Here is a 14,280-nt window from a genome sequence, read left to right as displayed (position 1 = left end):
CCTATCAAAAGATAGGCAGTTCCATCTATTCTGTTCTAGAAGCCTGTAAACTGAGAGTTCTTTCTGACCTAACATTCTCCTTCAACCCCCAAATGTAATTTATACACCAAGTCATCAGATTGGCCTTAGCAGTATCTGCTACCACTCTTTATTATAACACTACCCTAGCTCATGTTATCACCACCCCTGTTTCTTCAAACACGGTTTTTACCTCCTCCAATCTGTTCTGCACATTTCAGAGCAATCTTTTCAAAAGAAATCTAATCATGTGTTATAGCCCCACATACACCAGATGGTTAAAACAATTCTGCTTCTTCTAATGTTAGGTTAAAAAACCAAAATCCTTGCCATGGCCTACAAGCGCTGTCAAAAATGCTACCTCTACCATTCTATCCTTATTCTTATGCTGAAGCCACACTGAACTTCTTTAATTTCTCAAATTGGCCTTAATTCATAGGCCTTTGAAGATGTTCTGTTTTCTGTTCATAGCTTGTTTTTTCACAACTAGCCTCCACTCCATATAATTAATTTTTTAATCACTACTCATCCTCAGACCTCAGTTCAATGGTCATTTCCTCAAGAAAATATTTACTTCTCCCCTAAACTCATCTAAGCCTTGCTATTATGTTTTTTCATAGCACTTTGTACTTATTTCCATAGTACTTGCCATAGTTGTAAGTTTTATGACTTCCCTTTTCCAATAGACTAATAGTTTGTAAATTAGAAAAAGTACCAGTAAAGCCACATATTTCTATGGCATTGTACATCTTAAAGCATACCCTTCTACATCATCTTTTCTCATATGAGTCTCTTGAAGACAGCAGATTCTTGATTCACTCACTTGTATTCTCCATTTTGGTGATAATAGTAACACAATTACTTGTGTTACTATTTAAGGTTTCTTATTTCCCAAATGAGCATGTAAGCTTCGAGGGGAAGGAGACGACATGACAGTGGGAATGAGACAACCCAGCAGCAACTTACACAGAATGATAAGTGAGGACCAGGGGCAATGAAGGACTCTGATTGGATGCTTCCATCATAGATGCAGTAAGTAAGAGATGCTCCACAGCCAGCACTCAGTGGCTTGCTGCTACTAAGGCTGCTCCCCAAGTACAAACACCGTCCTGGGGATTCGGCAAGAAAGCCCTGAATTGACTGGGATTACATTTCTGTACCTGGTTAAATGGGGCTTCTAAAGATAAATAAAGTTGATTTATGAAAAAATTGGAAAGAGAGATTTCTTACAAACTGATATCTACATATTCTGAAATTCATGTCTATTGTGTCTTAATTATAGACAATAACACAAATAATAAAGTTCCCAATCATTCAAGAAACAAAAGAAAAATAAAGTAAGGTATCAAATTTTATACTTTTTCTCCTTCTACCCCTTTTCACTTCTTCCTTTCTAAATACTAGAGGAAAGAAGAAAACCCGGCAGTCTCTGTAGTCATGAAAACTTGCTAGAGTTGGCATATAATGCTTTTTCATCTTGTAACTGGAGGTTCACTAATTCCTGGTTAGGGAAATGGCAAATGCAGACTTTCAGCTCTGATTCCCTCTTACGCCATTTAATGACGTCCCTGCTGTGTTTAGTTATGTAAATACTGTTATTATAAAGTCAATTGTGGCTGTGTTTTCATAAATGCAAACACAATGTCTTTATCACAGCAAACATCTTTAGAGTGTTTCAGTTTTTTCTTTGTTGGTATTACTGTTATTTATGTAAAACAGAAAAATTATATGGGGCCCTAGGGGAAGACAGAGAGAATCTTTTAAAATATCAAGTTCACTGTAATTATTTAGTACTTCCAGGCCAAAGAAAAAGTAAGTCAATAAGTTCAGAATTGCTTTCAGATAAAGATCTATTAGACACAGGGAAGTTTCATTGAGGTCATTTATTTCTCCTATAACACTTATTGCTCTAAATTTCCCCCCTACTTCTTTATATTTTGCCAATTATTATTATAGAAAACTTGTAGCTGTCTTATTTAGATTAGTTTTAATCTTAACATTCATTGGTTTAACAAATATTTATAGAACACCTATGCTGTATTAGGCATTGGTTACATCCTGAGGATACAATGGTAAGAAGATAGAAACTCAGAACAGAAAAAAAGGGTTCTATAAAAGTCATATGTTTTGCATGTCTGTGTTATTGGCCTGTGATTCTTATCTCCTACAAAGTTGATGTGAGTTTGAGATTGCTCTCTCTGTCTGCAATATTAACTGATTAAAACTAGACAGCCTCGTGATCTTTAGGGAACAGCTGAAATCTGTGGAATAAATGGTCTACAAATATGATAAGGAGCTCATTTCGTGTTTCACAGTATAAGGGTGCAAAATAACCTTTCACTGGGGCTTTGTTTATGAGGAAATGACATCTCTGCAAAGAGAACCTACAGCTAGTCATGCTAAAGTTAAGAGAAGTTTGGGGTGTTTTTGGCAGCCAGAAAAGGGCTCAAGAGTTGATTCATGATAGTCATAAAACTAAATGTCTTATTTGCATCTATTTCTCTTTTTGCTAGAAGTTACAAGAACTATTAAATAATTGTGCATAGGAAGAAGTCATAACAAGATTTAGATTTAGGATGAAGGGCCATCATTTGCTGCCTTTAAGCAAAGACACTTCTATAAACATAAAGGCATCTGTACTTTTATTCAGGGTCTACTAGAAGTTTATCTCAGTGTAAGCGAAGTTCTCACTGATCCTTAGAGGGAAAGGTATGAATGAAACCTTTTTGGAGAAAATTTAAAAATGATTTCTTAACTTGCCTATTGTCTACATTTAGTGACCAAACTGCAAGCTATCCATCAAATCCTTTTTTGCCTTCTTCATGAATACATAGCTTCCCAGTTTATATATTCAACCTGTCTTTCAGCTAGTTCTTGTCATGTGCCAGTTTTCTCCAATAGCATATGAGTTAAGTGGCATGTGAAAAACTTCTTCACTTCTTATTAGAAAATTGTTGCCTGTAATTTCTTTCCACTTCCCTTTCCCATGAGCTAGAATGTAAATTAACCCATTATCCCCTTTAATCAGGAAAGCAAGCAACTGGGAAGAATGGTGCCCAATAAGGAGAAAGGCACCTGAATCTTTGGATGATCATTTGGAACAAGGCAACCCCTGACCCCAGAAAACTGAAATTTTCAATCTGAGACTATTACATGAAAGAAAAATAAATTTCTATCATCTTTAATATATAATAAGGATATGCTTAACTGTTTCATGTTTACTGTAACTAATTCATTTAAGTGTATCTGATCTTTAGGGGCCTAAGAAATGAACTATTTGCTCAGCAGTTGATGGGGAGCGTGCGATGACACGTATAGCTTTGTTGTTTCTGCTGCTGTTTGTGAGAACAAAAGATTTGCTAATTTATTAGTTATTAAGTTATTATTTCTCAGCTTCAAGCCCACCTTTCTCTACCCTGCTTTTGCTTGCTGGCTATCTGCAAGGCACATTTCTCTTTTGACAGTTGGCTTAATGTTAGGTTCTGGCAAGAGTTGCTTAGAACATTAGAAGGCTAGAGAAAGAACGAGACATTGCTTTTTCCTTTCTCTGTTTGAACTTTCTGCTATTGTCGGTGTCACTCCAGCAAGGCTTCTTTTTCACTAGGAAGTGTCTCTTTGTTCCATTGACAACTTCTGAATTTAGTATGCAGTTTTCCAACACTTGCAACCAAAATTACCACTCCCCAATCAGAGATACCAGCACCAGAGAGCTGGCACCCACCTCAGACGTCTCATCCCAGCCCCATAGTACCCCCTCCTCTGAGCTCATAGACAGCACCTCCTCCTCAGAGGTCTGGGTTCAAGGATTTTCTTCTAAGCTTCTAAATCTAAATATTAATAATTCCAAACATTTCCAACCCCTTTCTCTCTTTCTTTCTTTCTTTCTTTCTTGATTGCTTGCTTGCTGGCTTGCTTCTTCTTTCTTTCTTTTGAGGACTTCTTTCTAAGCTTCTAAATATTAATAATTCCAAATAATTCAAACCCCTTTCTCTCTCTCTCTCTCTCTCTCTCTCTCTCTTTCTGACAGGGTTTCACTCTATCACCCAGGCTGGAGTGCAGTGGTGTGATTTCGGCTCATTGCAACCTCTGCCTCCTGGGTTCAAGCAATTCTCCTGCCTCAGCCTCCTGAGTAGCTGAGATTACAGGCACCTACCACCACGACCGGTTAATTTTTGTATTTTTAAATGGAGATGGGGTTTCACCATGATGACCAGGCTGGTCTCAAACTCCTGACCTCAAGTAATCCACCCGCCTCAGCCTCCCAAAGTGCTGGGATTACAGGCATAAGCCACAGCGTCTGGCCCTTAGACGTGGGAGCAATTAACTACTTCCTGCAGCTGCTAACTTTATGATATTTTTGTGACCAATCTTTGCCTTTGCAATTCTCTAATAGCTGATTAAGAACTTCTTCTATGAAATTCACTGTTAAAATAAATGGTGTGATTGCTGTTTACTGATTATATATAGTGTAACTGATATCACTGAAAAAAGAATAAACACATTGTAACATTACTGATATCTTAGGCCATCATTTTACCCTTTAGTTCCTCCTTCACCCCTGCCCCCGACCCTTCCTTCAATTCAGTATTTTAGTTTAAACAATAATTATTGGCTCAGAAAATAGATTTCATAACAGAAAGCAGAGAAAATGAAAGTAAATAATTGGCACTTATGGGACAAATGAAAAAGCATATATTAACATACTATGAAAAATACCTTATGAGTAACAGTTAATCTGCTGGTCAACACTAAACAAAAGAGTAAAATTCAATCACAAACACAAATGCCTACACAGGTCAAGCAGTTACGGTAGATGAGTGAAGCAGACCAGATGTGTGGGGAAAAGCAGCAGAAAAGTGACAGCAGATGACAAATGACACATATCCTCAGCCTCGGGGGCCAATACAAATGGAAGTGTCAAAGTCAAAATAAAAACGTAAAGCTAAATCTCTACAATGAACGTTTTATTTGAAAAGCAAGAATTGCAATTCAGGGTTTACACACAGACCCAGTGGTCTTCTATACGTCTGAAAGACAAAGAGAAGGTTGTGGGGGGCGGCTATAAAAAAGAGAAATGTTACATGTTGTCTTAAAAGAAAGTTCATTGGTATTAGTAAAATCTTGAGGAGCTGCTCTGATTGGTGAGTAATTGACAGTAGGTATAATTAGTCTAAAGAGTCGCAGCAGGTTGTTTCAGAGCTATTAGACGTAACTGGTCTCAGATTACAACAAGAAGTTTCAGCATCTTGGCTTGCAGAGAATTACATTTTTGGAGCAATGTTATGTGTCCTGAGCCCTTTCTCCTCCCCAACCGCAGCATCTCTACTCTATTTTAGCTGGGTATGACAAGAATGACCCAATTTGTATAATCAACCTTCACAGAAGCAACTATGAATAACTGGACAGTGTCAACCCATTAAAAGACAAGACACCATTTATGTCCAGGCAATTACTGCCACATGGAAACAAAGATCTATTGGTTCCAAAATGCTGAAGACTGCAAAAGAAGCAAGAACTTTGAATTCTCCTGAAGTTTTCTCGTTTGTAAATGTCACTCATTCAACTTTTGAAACAGCACTGTGAGGGCCAGATAAAACATGGCTTTAGGCCTGATCTGACTCATAGGTACCAACTTGCAACTAATGGGGAAGAAATTGTGTAAATCCCTGGAAACTGAGATCTCATCAAGCCCTAGGAGTGGATAGCAACAGAAATTCTTGGGAAGTTTGTGGACTTGGAGAATAGAGTCTTATCCCTCACTTCCTGAGTAGATTTAAGGGAGGCTTCAACACTCCAGAGTAAAAATGTCTGGATAGTGTGTTTAGGTAAAATACATTTAGGAAGGGTCCGAGAGGTTCCTACAGGAAAGTACAGTGACTCGTGTGCCCCTGGAATGTCACTCAAATGACGAAGGACTTGAGACAGTTCCACAGATTTTTGGGTCAAAGCGTGGCAGGAACCAGCAGAGTCATCTGTACACAAGTTAAGAATCTGAGGGAAACTCAGAAAATTTAACAGACTGTAATAGCAAAAATGATGAACAATGCAACAATAAACTAAGTGGACAAAAAAATTTTAAAAAGCACAGAAATTAAGAAATATTATTGGATGCCACCATGGATTACAACACCAAAATCTGAATGCTTCTCACCCATGACAGCTTGGTTATATAAGACCCTAGAAAATGAGCTGCAACTCCATGCAAAACAGGGTCTCTGAATTAAATGAGATTACACTTCTGCCACCTTGCAGGAAGGCAGCTAATTGTTAAAAATGCAATGGCATTAGGAAAATAAAGAGAGTTATGATATTGCATACCTAAGTTTGCATTTTGAGATTTGCATCTGTGACAAACTGATTGGAGGTAAAAACTTGGCTTCCTTATTTGTTCTGAAAAGAGTGAAGATTCATTTTTAAAAGATTTTCTGCTGTTTACTTTCAAATTTATATCTCTATCCCTGACCTCTCCTGTGGGCTCTAGATTCTTAGCTCTAATTACCTTATTTGACATCTTGATTTTGTCTCATACGTCAGTCCTTATGTGACTGAAGTCAAACTTCATCCTGGAAGTAACTTCTCCCAAAACCTACTCCCTCTCTCAGTAGGAATAGAACTGATGGATTTCAGGAATAGAACTGATGCAGGACATGTGAGCCCCAAACTGGCACTTAGCCCTCAAGGGTTCATGGCATCATTCACGAAAGAATTCAAGGGTTAGCCCATAGCAGTGTAGAAGAAAACAGCTGTATTGAAGCTGCAGTGTTACAGCTTTGCGACTGCTCCTGCAGAGCAGGGTTACCTAGGCAGTGTGCTGAGAGTAGCAGCTCAGGGCAGTTCTGCAGTCATATCTATACCTACTTCTAATTGCCTACAGATTAAGGGATGGTTTATGCAGGAATTTCTAGGGAAAGGGTAATAACTTTGGGGTCATCACGTCATTGCAATGGAAAGGGGCAGTACCTCCCAAGTATTGCCACGCGATGGTAAGCTAACATGTCCCACTGGTGGTCATGCCTTATGGAAAGCTGCTTCCGCTCCATCCCTGTTTTAGCTAGTCCTCAATTTGGTCCCATGTCTGAGCCCCACTTCTGGAGTCGAGTCCACCTCCTACTTCAAAACATTCATACATAGTTGCTCAGGTCAAATTTATTGTTTTCTTTTTCTTCCAATCAACCCCCACCAATTCAGTCCAATAATGATTCCTGTGGGTTTTACCTCCAAAATGTATCTAGTATCTGTCCACATCCCTCTATTTTTTAGTATGACCACCCTCCATAAACCTCCTCATTGGACTACTGCACTAGCTCCCTTATCAGTAGAGTGCTGTAAGCAGCCCATATCAACTCATGAAAACAAATTATTAAATTTTCAAGAGTTTGCCAAGCCAATATATGTCACATTGGTAGTTTGAAATTGGCCATGATTTGACATATTAACACCACGGAAATCTGTAATCAAACCAGTGATCTTTCTCCCCTCCAGAAAGAGTGTTTTAAAACATCACCAGCATTATCACTGCTCCTGTTTCTACATTTGCACCACTACAGTCCATTTACCTCACAACAGCCTGTGTAATCATTTATAACAAATGAAACCTTTCTTGTCTCAGCCCTGTTTAAAATCCTCTAATGGTTTCCCACTGGGCCTACACATAACCCAAATTCTTACCAAGGCCCAAGAAACTCTGTATGACTTATTTTCTCCCTACCTCTCTGATCCCCAACTCATACCACTCCCTGCCTCACTTCCTACACTTTGGATAGGCTGGCCTTCACTTTGTTTCTCCAGAGCATCAAACTATTTCTGATTTGGAGTCTTTACATTTGCTGTTCTCCCTTCTTGGAATGGGCTTCACTTATATCTTCATGTGGCTTGTTCCTTCTTGTCACTCACATCTGTTAACATGTCACTTATTCATCCAGGACTCTCTGAACTGTCTCATCCGCCTTCATCTACAGCATGCCTTATCACATCTTTCTATTAGTTCCTCATAACCCTTATCACTATTCAAACTTGATTTTTTTTGCTATTTGTCTCTCTCATTAGACTATGTTTTATAAGAGTAGGTAGCTGTTTTCCTCACTGCCCTTTCCTCATACCTAACAAATGATTGACAGTTAAACATAACCTTGAACACTGTAAAAATCTTCTATTTTTACCCAGGATCCCATTATTGATCAAAAATTGTTGTTTTGGATTCACTGTATGTGTGTTTATAATCCCATCAAACTTAATTTAGGAAAATCAAGGCATCCTGAGTAATTAACCATGTTTTTCCTCCACAAGCATAAAAACTCATTGAATAGTAGTAATCTTTTAGTAAAATACCAAGTTCTACAAAATCAGAGCCTTGCCATACTAAGCCCCTCCACAAATCCAACATAGGATAAAAGGCTCATAGAAGCTTTGAAACATGAATGTGGCATTTACCACTCTGAACTATAATTTATCTCTTGTTGTATTATGTACAACTTCCCCCAGGGCAGGGTTCATGCTTTTAATCATTTTGTATTCCCATTCCTGACTCAATCCCTCCACATAGTAGTGTTCCATAAATGTTTGTGGAAATAAATTTTGTTTGATGATTAGGGTTGTTTGTGGAATTTATTGGAACCCAGATTTATAGAGCACTTTGTCTTATTTTGGAAATGATTCTATAACTGAGAAGCAGAGCAATGTATCAAATCAAATAGACAGAAGAGGAATGATTCTGGCTGTTAACAAAGAGCTACATTACACAAACTGAATGTATGTTTATTAGAAGTGAAATGGAAAATTAAATTTATGTAATCCTTATTTAGAGGTTATTCTGCTTTTTTCTGAAATTAGAAGCCTAAAATCATAATCAGCAATAGAAGATGATCATAAAAATGTCATCTAAGGTGGCTGGATCGACAGGAAAACTTTCTCATTTGCAGAGTATTGCTATGGGGCTGGAGGCTGGGGCTGATTTGAAGGGTACAAGAGGTAGCCAGGTTTAGTGTTTTGTGTAGGGAAAAAAGAAAAGAAAAGAAAGATCTTGGAAGGAAGCAGACTGAAGAGGGACAGGTGAAAGGTTCAAGGAGGATTTTCTAAGTTGTTTTCCATACAATATGAGATGAAAATCTTGCATTTCAGCAATCCATGTAGAATTTTTCTTACACTTCAATTTGCTCACTAATGCTTTTCAGATAGTAGATTACTTGGGGGAGGGTAATATTAATATATATATAGGTTTTATTACTCTATATAGATTCAGTAACTAGAAACAGTTTTCTTTACTCAAAACCTAGACAATAACTGGTAACACTTCCCCCACCCTCCCATTTCCTTCTCTGTTCTCCTGGATGACACCACTGATGTGGCTCTGTGAAGAAGGGCAATAATCTCATGTCTCCAAATCCACAGATGACTTCCAGGGCATTTCCATTTGATATTGTTGATTGCTGTCTTCATTCCTACACTCCCTCCTTTTGATTTTTATTCACCATACTCGTGTGTGTGTGTGTTTGTGTGTGTGTGTGTGTGTGTGTGTATGTTTTCTCTCCTATAATACTAGCCTCTATTTTTCAGGTTCTTTTGCTGACAGCTGCTGGTTTAGAGAGCATACACGGTCTCACATTACTCTTTAAATAAAGGCCAGAACCTCTAACATGGCCAAGGAAGCCCTCACATCTGGCCCATAACTATCTCTGAAGGCCAACCGTCCTTGACTTTCCACCTTGCTCTCTATCCTTCTGCCATTCTGGCCTTTTAAACCCTTTAAATATCTTCACATTGCTTCTTGGCACAATGGTCTTTACCTGTACAGTTTCTTCTACCTGGAATGCTCCTTCCTTTACCCTTCACCTTCACCTATTTGCCCTCTATTTATTCTTAAACCTCAGCTCAAAAATTGATTCAGCAGGGAATTCTTCTCTGTCCCTACAGTCTAAAGCAGCTTCTTGTGTTATATGTTTATATATTTCAGAGCATGTCCCTCAGTTTATAACGGCATATTTATTAGCATGACAATTTGCTTATAGGGCTGACTGCCCCACTATGTTAAAAGCTTCTTGAGAGAAACAGTGTCAGTTTGGGATCATCATTTTATCTTATCACCTAGATAAGTGATTGACACATAGTAGGTGCTCAATAAAAAGTTGAATTGATTCAGTGCCTGTAGTCTTAATCTTACTGGATTTTTAAGAAGCATACCTTTCGGCTTCAAAAACATAAAACACCCAGTTCTTCCCCCAGCACCCTGACCTCTTATTCTGAGTCTCTAGCATGTTCATTTTCTTTTTCCCTGATCTTTAAATGTTTTAGCTTCTCATGATTAGGTCCTTAGTCCTTTTCTTTTCTCATTCATTACTCTTTCTAAGATGATTTAATTTAATTTAATGGATTCAGTTCCCACCCTTAGAAAGATCACCCTCAAATATATCTTTCTCACCTAGCCAAGCTTCTTCTATAAGCTCCAGATCAATTTACTTAACTACTGACTTCACCTTCCTAACTGAATATTACAACAATAAATCAAACGTAACATGTCTAAGATTTGCCTCATGGTTTTTCGGCTATAAACCTAGTATTTCTCCAGAAATCCACCTAACTGTACTAGCCAAAAGCATGTAAGATATGCTTATGGAAATAACTGCAAATATCTTTAGTTCTGCCTTGATTTAAATTATAATTGACAACAGAGGCCAGAGAATGGGATGAAAATTATTATTGACACAATTGCTTCTGAGTGTGGAAAGCACTAGCTAGCTATTATCCCTGACTTAGCTAGAAAAGCAAGGTAGTAAATACTTATGCTTCCTTTGTAGTCCTTATAGATCTGCACATTTAAAAAATATATTTTGATACTAATCATTTGTCAGTTGTGTGTAGTACATGACTTGATATTTGTCAGATTTATTGAATGATGATTTGTGAGTTTATGAGATAGCTTATGAGAGTTCCATATAAATTAAATAGTAATAAATAAGAATGATTACAGTCAGGAGTAAGTATATATAGAGAGAGATATATACAGATATTTATATATATTCCTTAGGTAGTTTTACAGGTGGGTTAGGAAAAGTACAGTCACCCTCAACTTCTCTGGATAACAAAGAATTTGATTATTAAAAATAGTCACTTACCCAAGATGAATATTTATGACAGCAAGATCACATGATTTTATTTCATTTACAACTCAGGTTCCTCTTAGAAAAAAGTGGATGGGAAAGGCCCCACTCCCTTTGAAAGAATGAGATCATTGTATTTAATAAGATCTTTCAAAGAGAGCAAGGAAAATGAAAAGCAGGAAAACATTGCAGGGCAGAAACACCTGGCTATCTTGGCCACACTCCACTTCATTCTTTACTCCAATGCACATGCCTATGTGTTTGTCCTGCCCTTTTCAATAAATGAAGAAGAATAGGTCCACTTGGTTACAAACCCATGAACTCTTCAGCTTTCACCTGTTCTGATTGTTTCTGTGCTTTGGGGAAAGGGGCGTGTTCTGCCCTTTTCCAGGTCCATGTAAGTGTCACAGAGTTCTTGTTAATCATCATTACAAAGTTTGCCCTGTCTTCTGAGGAAAAAAAATCAAATTGAAAAACCTTAAAAGTGTCAAAAATAAATTGTAAATGTGATCATGGTTGTTTCAAAATTTCTGAACATTTTCAGAGCTTTAATATAAAAGCACCCTAAGGCCATCAAATTCAAATTAATCAAAGCCTTTGCAAAGTTTAGTGCTCTATGGTCGAAGGAGTAGCAGATTCTAACATTAATCCACAGGCTTCTAGGAAGCTGATGGAAAAGAATGAAGCCCCATGTAGCTAGGTCTGCTTCCTGCCATTATTCTGTGGTGGAGAGGAAGCAGGGGTTCTCTGTGTGGATCCTTTGCAAGGAGGACCCATTAATGAAGGCAAAAATGAACATGGCTGGCGTGAGGTGGCATATGAAAAAGAGGAACTACAGAAATTTTCACACTTCCAAATGTGTTCCATGTAAAGGGCTACCTTATCTGCAGGTTCATTTTATAGTACGGTGTCATTAGTTATCACTCACTTGGCTCTCCTGCTGCTTCACACATTGTTCCTTACCCATTTCCTTTGGTGTTTCATCCTCCTCTCCCTGACTTTATGAGGTTGGAGTAGGCCAGAGCTCTGTCTTTGCTTTTCTTCTCTTCTTTATGCTCACTCTCTGTGTGGCCTCCTTCAGGCTCATGGGTTTAAGTGCCATCTATTGTGAATCTCCAGTCGAAAATGCTCCCCAACAATAGAGATTTTTTTATTTAACTGCCTACTGGAATCTCTACTTGGGTGTCTAAATACATCTCAAACTCAGAAAAATCCAAACTGAGCCTCTGATGCCCATGCCTCTGTCCCCTGAGGTGTCTCATACAGCCTTTTCCATCACTATTGATGGTCACTTCATCTTTCCATTTATTCAGGACAAAACAAAATTGAGTCTTCTTTTTCTTATGCTCTATATCCAATCTGTTAGAAAATCCTGTTTGTTTTCTATTTAAAATATATTCAGAGTCTAATTGTTTTCCATTGTTTCCACTATTACTGCTCTGCTCCAACCCACTGTCATTTCTTATATGAATGATTTCAATAGTTTCCTAATAGAACTTGTTTTTATAAGCCCAACCCCACTAAGTGAAGCCAGAGCTTAGCAGACAGATTGGTCCTTTCACCATGTATGTCAGATTACAACACTCAAATCTTGTCTCTGTTTTACTCAAAACTCTCCAATGCCTCTTCACACAATGGCCTACTAGGATCTACATCATCTGCCTGAACTACTCCTCTCTTGACATTATCTCTAACCAATTTCCCCTCGTTTATTCTACTCCAGCCACAATGCTGTTCTCAAATACTTAAGCAAATTTCCACCATATGGCTTCTGCACCGTTTGTTCGCTCTGCTTGATTATTCTTCCGCTATATATCCACATAGCTAACTCCTCACCTGTTTCTCAAATGTCACTTTCTCAATAAGCTGTACCATGCCCCTATTTAAGAGAGTGGTCCACCCCCACCAGTCCACCACTCCTGCTCATTGTCCATTCCTTTCACCCTACTTTAGTGCCACACACACACACCTGCTGCACTATAGCATTCCCAGCTTCCAGCAGATAGTACTTCTTTTTTTAATTTTCTAACTTCCTTCCCATAATAGAAATATAAGCTTCATGAAGAGAATGATCTTTGTCTTTTTTTTTTTTTTGGTAAATTTCTGATGTACTCTAACTGTTACCAGGGGGTCCCAGTTACCCCCCAAAATGGGCCTTTTCCTGTTCAGTGTCACAAGCAAGTATACGAAACTGAAAGTGAGCATTAGACAGTACAGGCTTTATCTGATGGCCATAAAATGCAGAAGTGGGAGTGTGGCTCTCAAATCAACTTATCACCTCCTGAGAGAGAACCAGGGAGTTACAGATATAGGGTATCTTCAGTGAAGGGGCTGGGCATTAAAAGCAAGCAGGGGAATATTTATGCTTTTCTTGGTAAGGAATGGAGATTTCCTAGGAGTCGCCTCTTTTCTGTCATTTTTTCATTTCTTCTGGTCATTGTCATGGTGATTATCAACTGTCAAGGCATCCAGGGGTGAGTCATTTGTCATGAAAATTGGATTACAATGAAGCTAGAGATTCATCAGAGGTCAAGCAAACTGCCAACATGGATTTCGCAAGTTTCAACTGGTTTAGTTCTAAGAATAAACTTTTGATCACAGACATGCTGTTTCCTAACAAAGTTAAGGCTGAGTAGGAATTCAGCTGTGTCATGTAGACATTGCCTTGGGCAACAAAAGCAGGGTAGGGGTCCAGCTAAGTCACATAGGCCCTGCAGCCGGTAATAGGAATTCAGCTATGTCATGTAGACATTGCCTTGGGCAACAAAAGCGGGGTAGGGGTCCAGCTAAGTCACATAGGCCCTGCAGCCGGTAATAGGAATTCAGCTATGTCATGTAGACATTGCCTTGGGCAACAAAAGCGGGGTAGGGGTCCAGCTAAGTCACATAGGCCCTGCAGCCGGTAACATAACCACAGACTCAGAGCAGGTGCTTAGTAAATATTTGCTGAATTACTGAATTGGAATTTTACATATTTATAAAAATTATTTAGATTCAGTGTTACCACTTAATGTCTAATTTTTCCCAGGCTTTATACTTAATAAAAGCAAGTATTATGTCCATCTTGTTCACTATTATACCTGTAAACTAGGCATGCTGACCAATATATAATAGGTACTCAAAGAATATTTGCTGAATGTGTAATCACCAAGGACAACAATGACAGATC

The 14,280-nt window shown here is 38.3% G+C and overlaps 3 annotated features.

The window, feature by feature from the left end:
* Positions 13,146-14,014: a transcriptional cis regulatory region, noted in NCBI's record as "candidate enhancer chr12.1007 targeted for multiplex CRISPR interference". NCBI's record gives its function as "positively regulates SYT10 gene expression with high confidence in K562 cells {active_cell/tissue: K562}" and the evidence as "EXISTENCE:mutant phenotype evidence [ECO:0000015][PMID:30612741]".
* Positions 13,146-14,280: a biological region, named in NCBI's record as "CRISPRi-validated cis-regulatory element chr12.1007". NCBI's record gives its function as "regulatory_interactions: SYT10".
* Positions 13,360-14,280: an enhancer, noted in NCBI's record as "OCT4-NANOG-H3K27ac hESC enhancer chr12:33740543-33741463 (GRCh37/hg19 assembly coordinates)". NCBI's record gives its function as "activates a minimal SCP1, AML or CMV promoter by ChIP-STARR-seq in primed H9 embryonic stem cells {active_cell/tissue: H9 hESC(primed)}" and the evidence as "EXISTENCE:reporter gene assay evidence [ECO:0000049][PMID:30033119]".

This window comes from Homo sapiens, chromosome 12 (genome assembly GCF_000001405.40).
Source record: "Homo sapiens chromosome 12, GRCh38.p14 Primary Assembly".
NCBI lineage: Eukaryota > Metazoa > Chordata > Mammalia > Primates > Hominidae > Homo > Homo sapiens.
The sequence above is the reverse complement of the archived record's forward strand: the minus strand, read 5'-3'. Positions and strand labels throughout refer to the sequence as shown.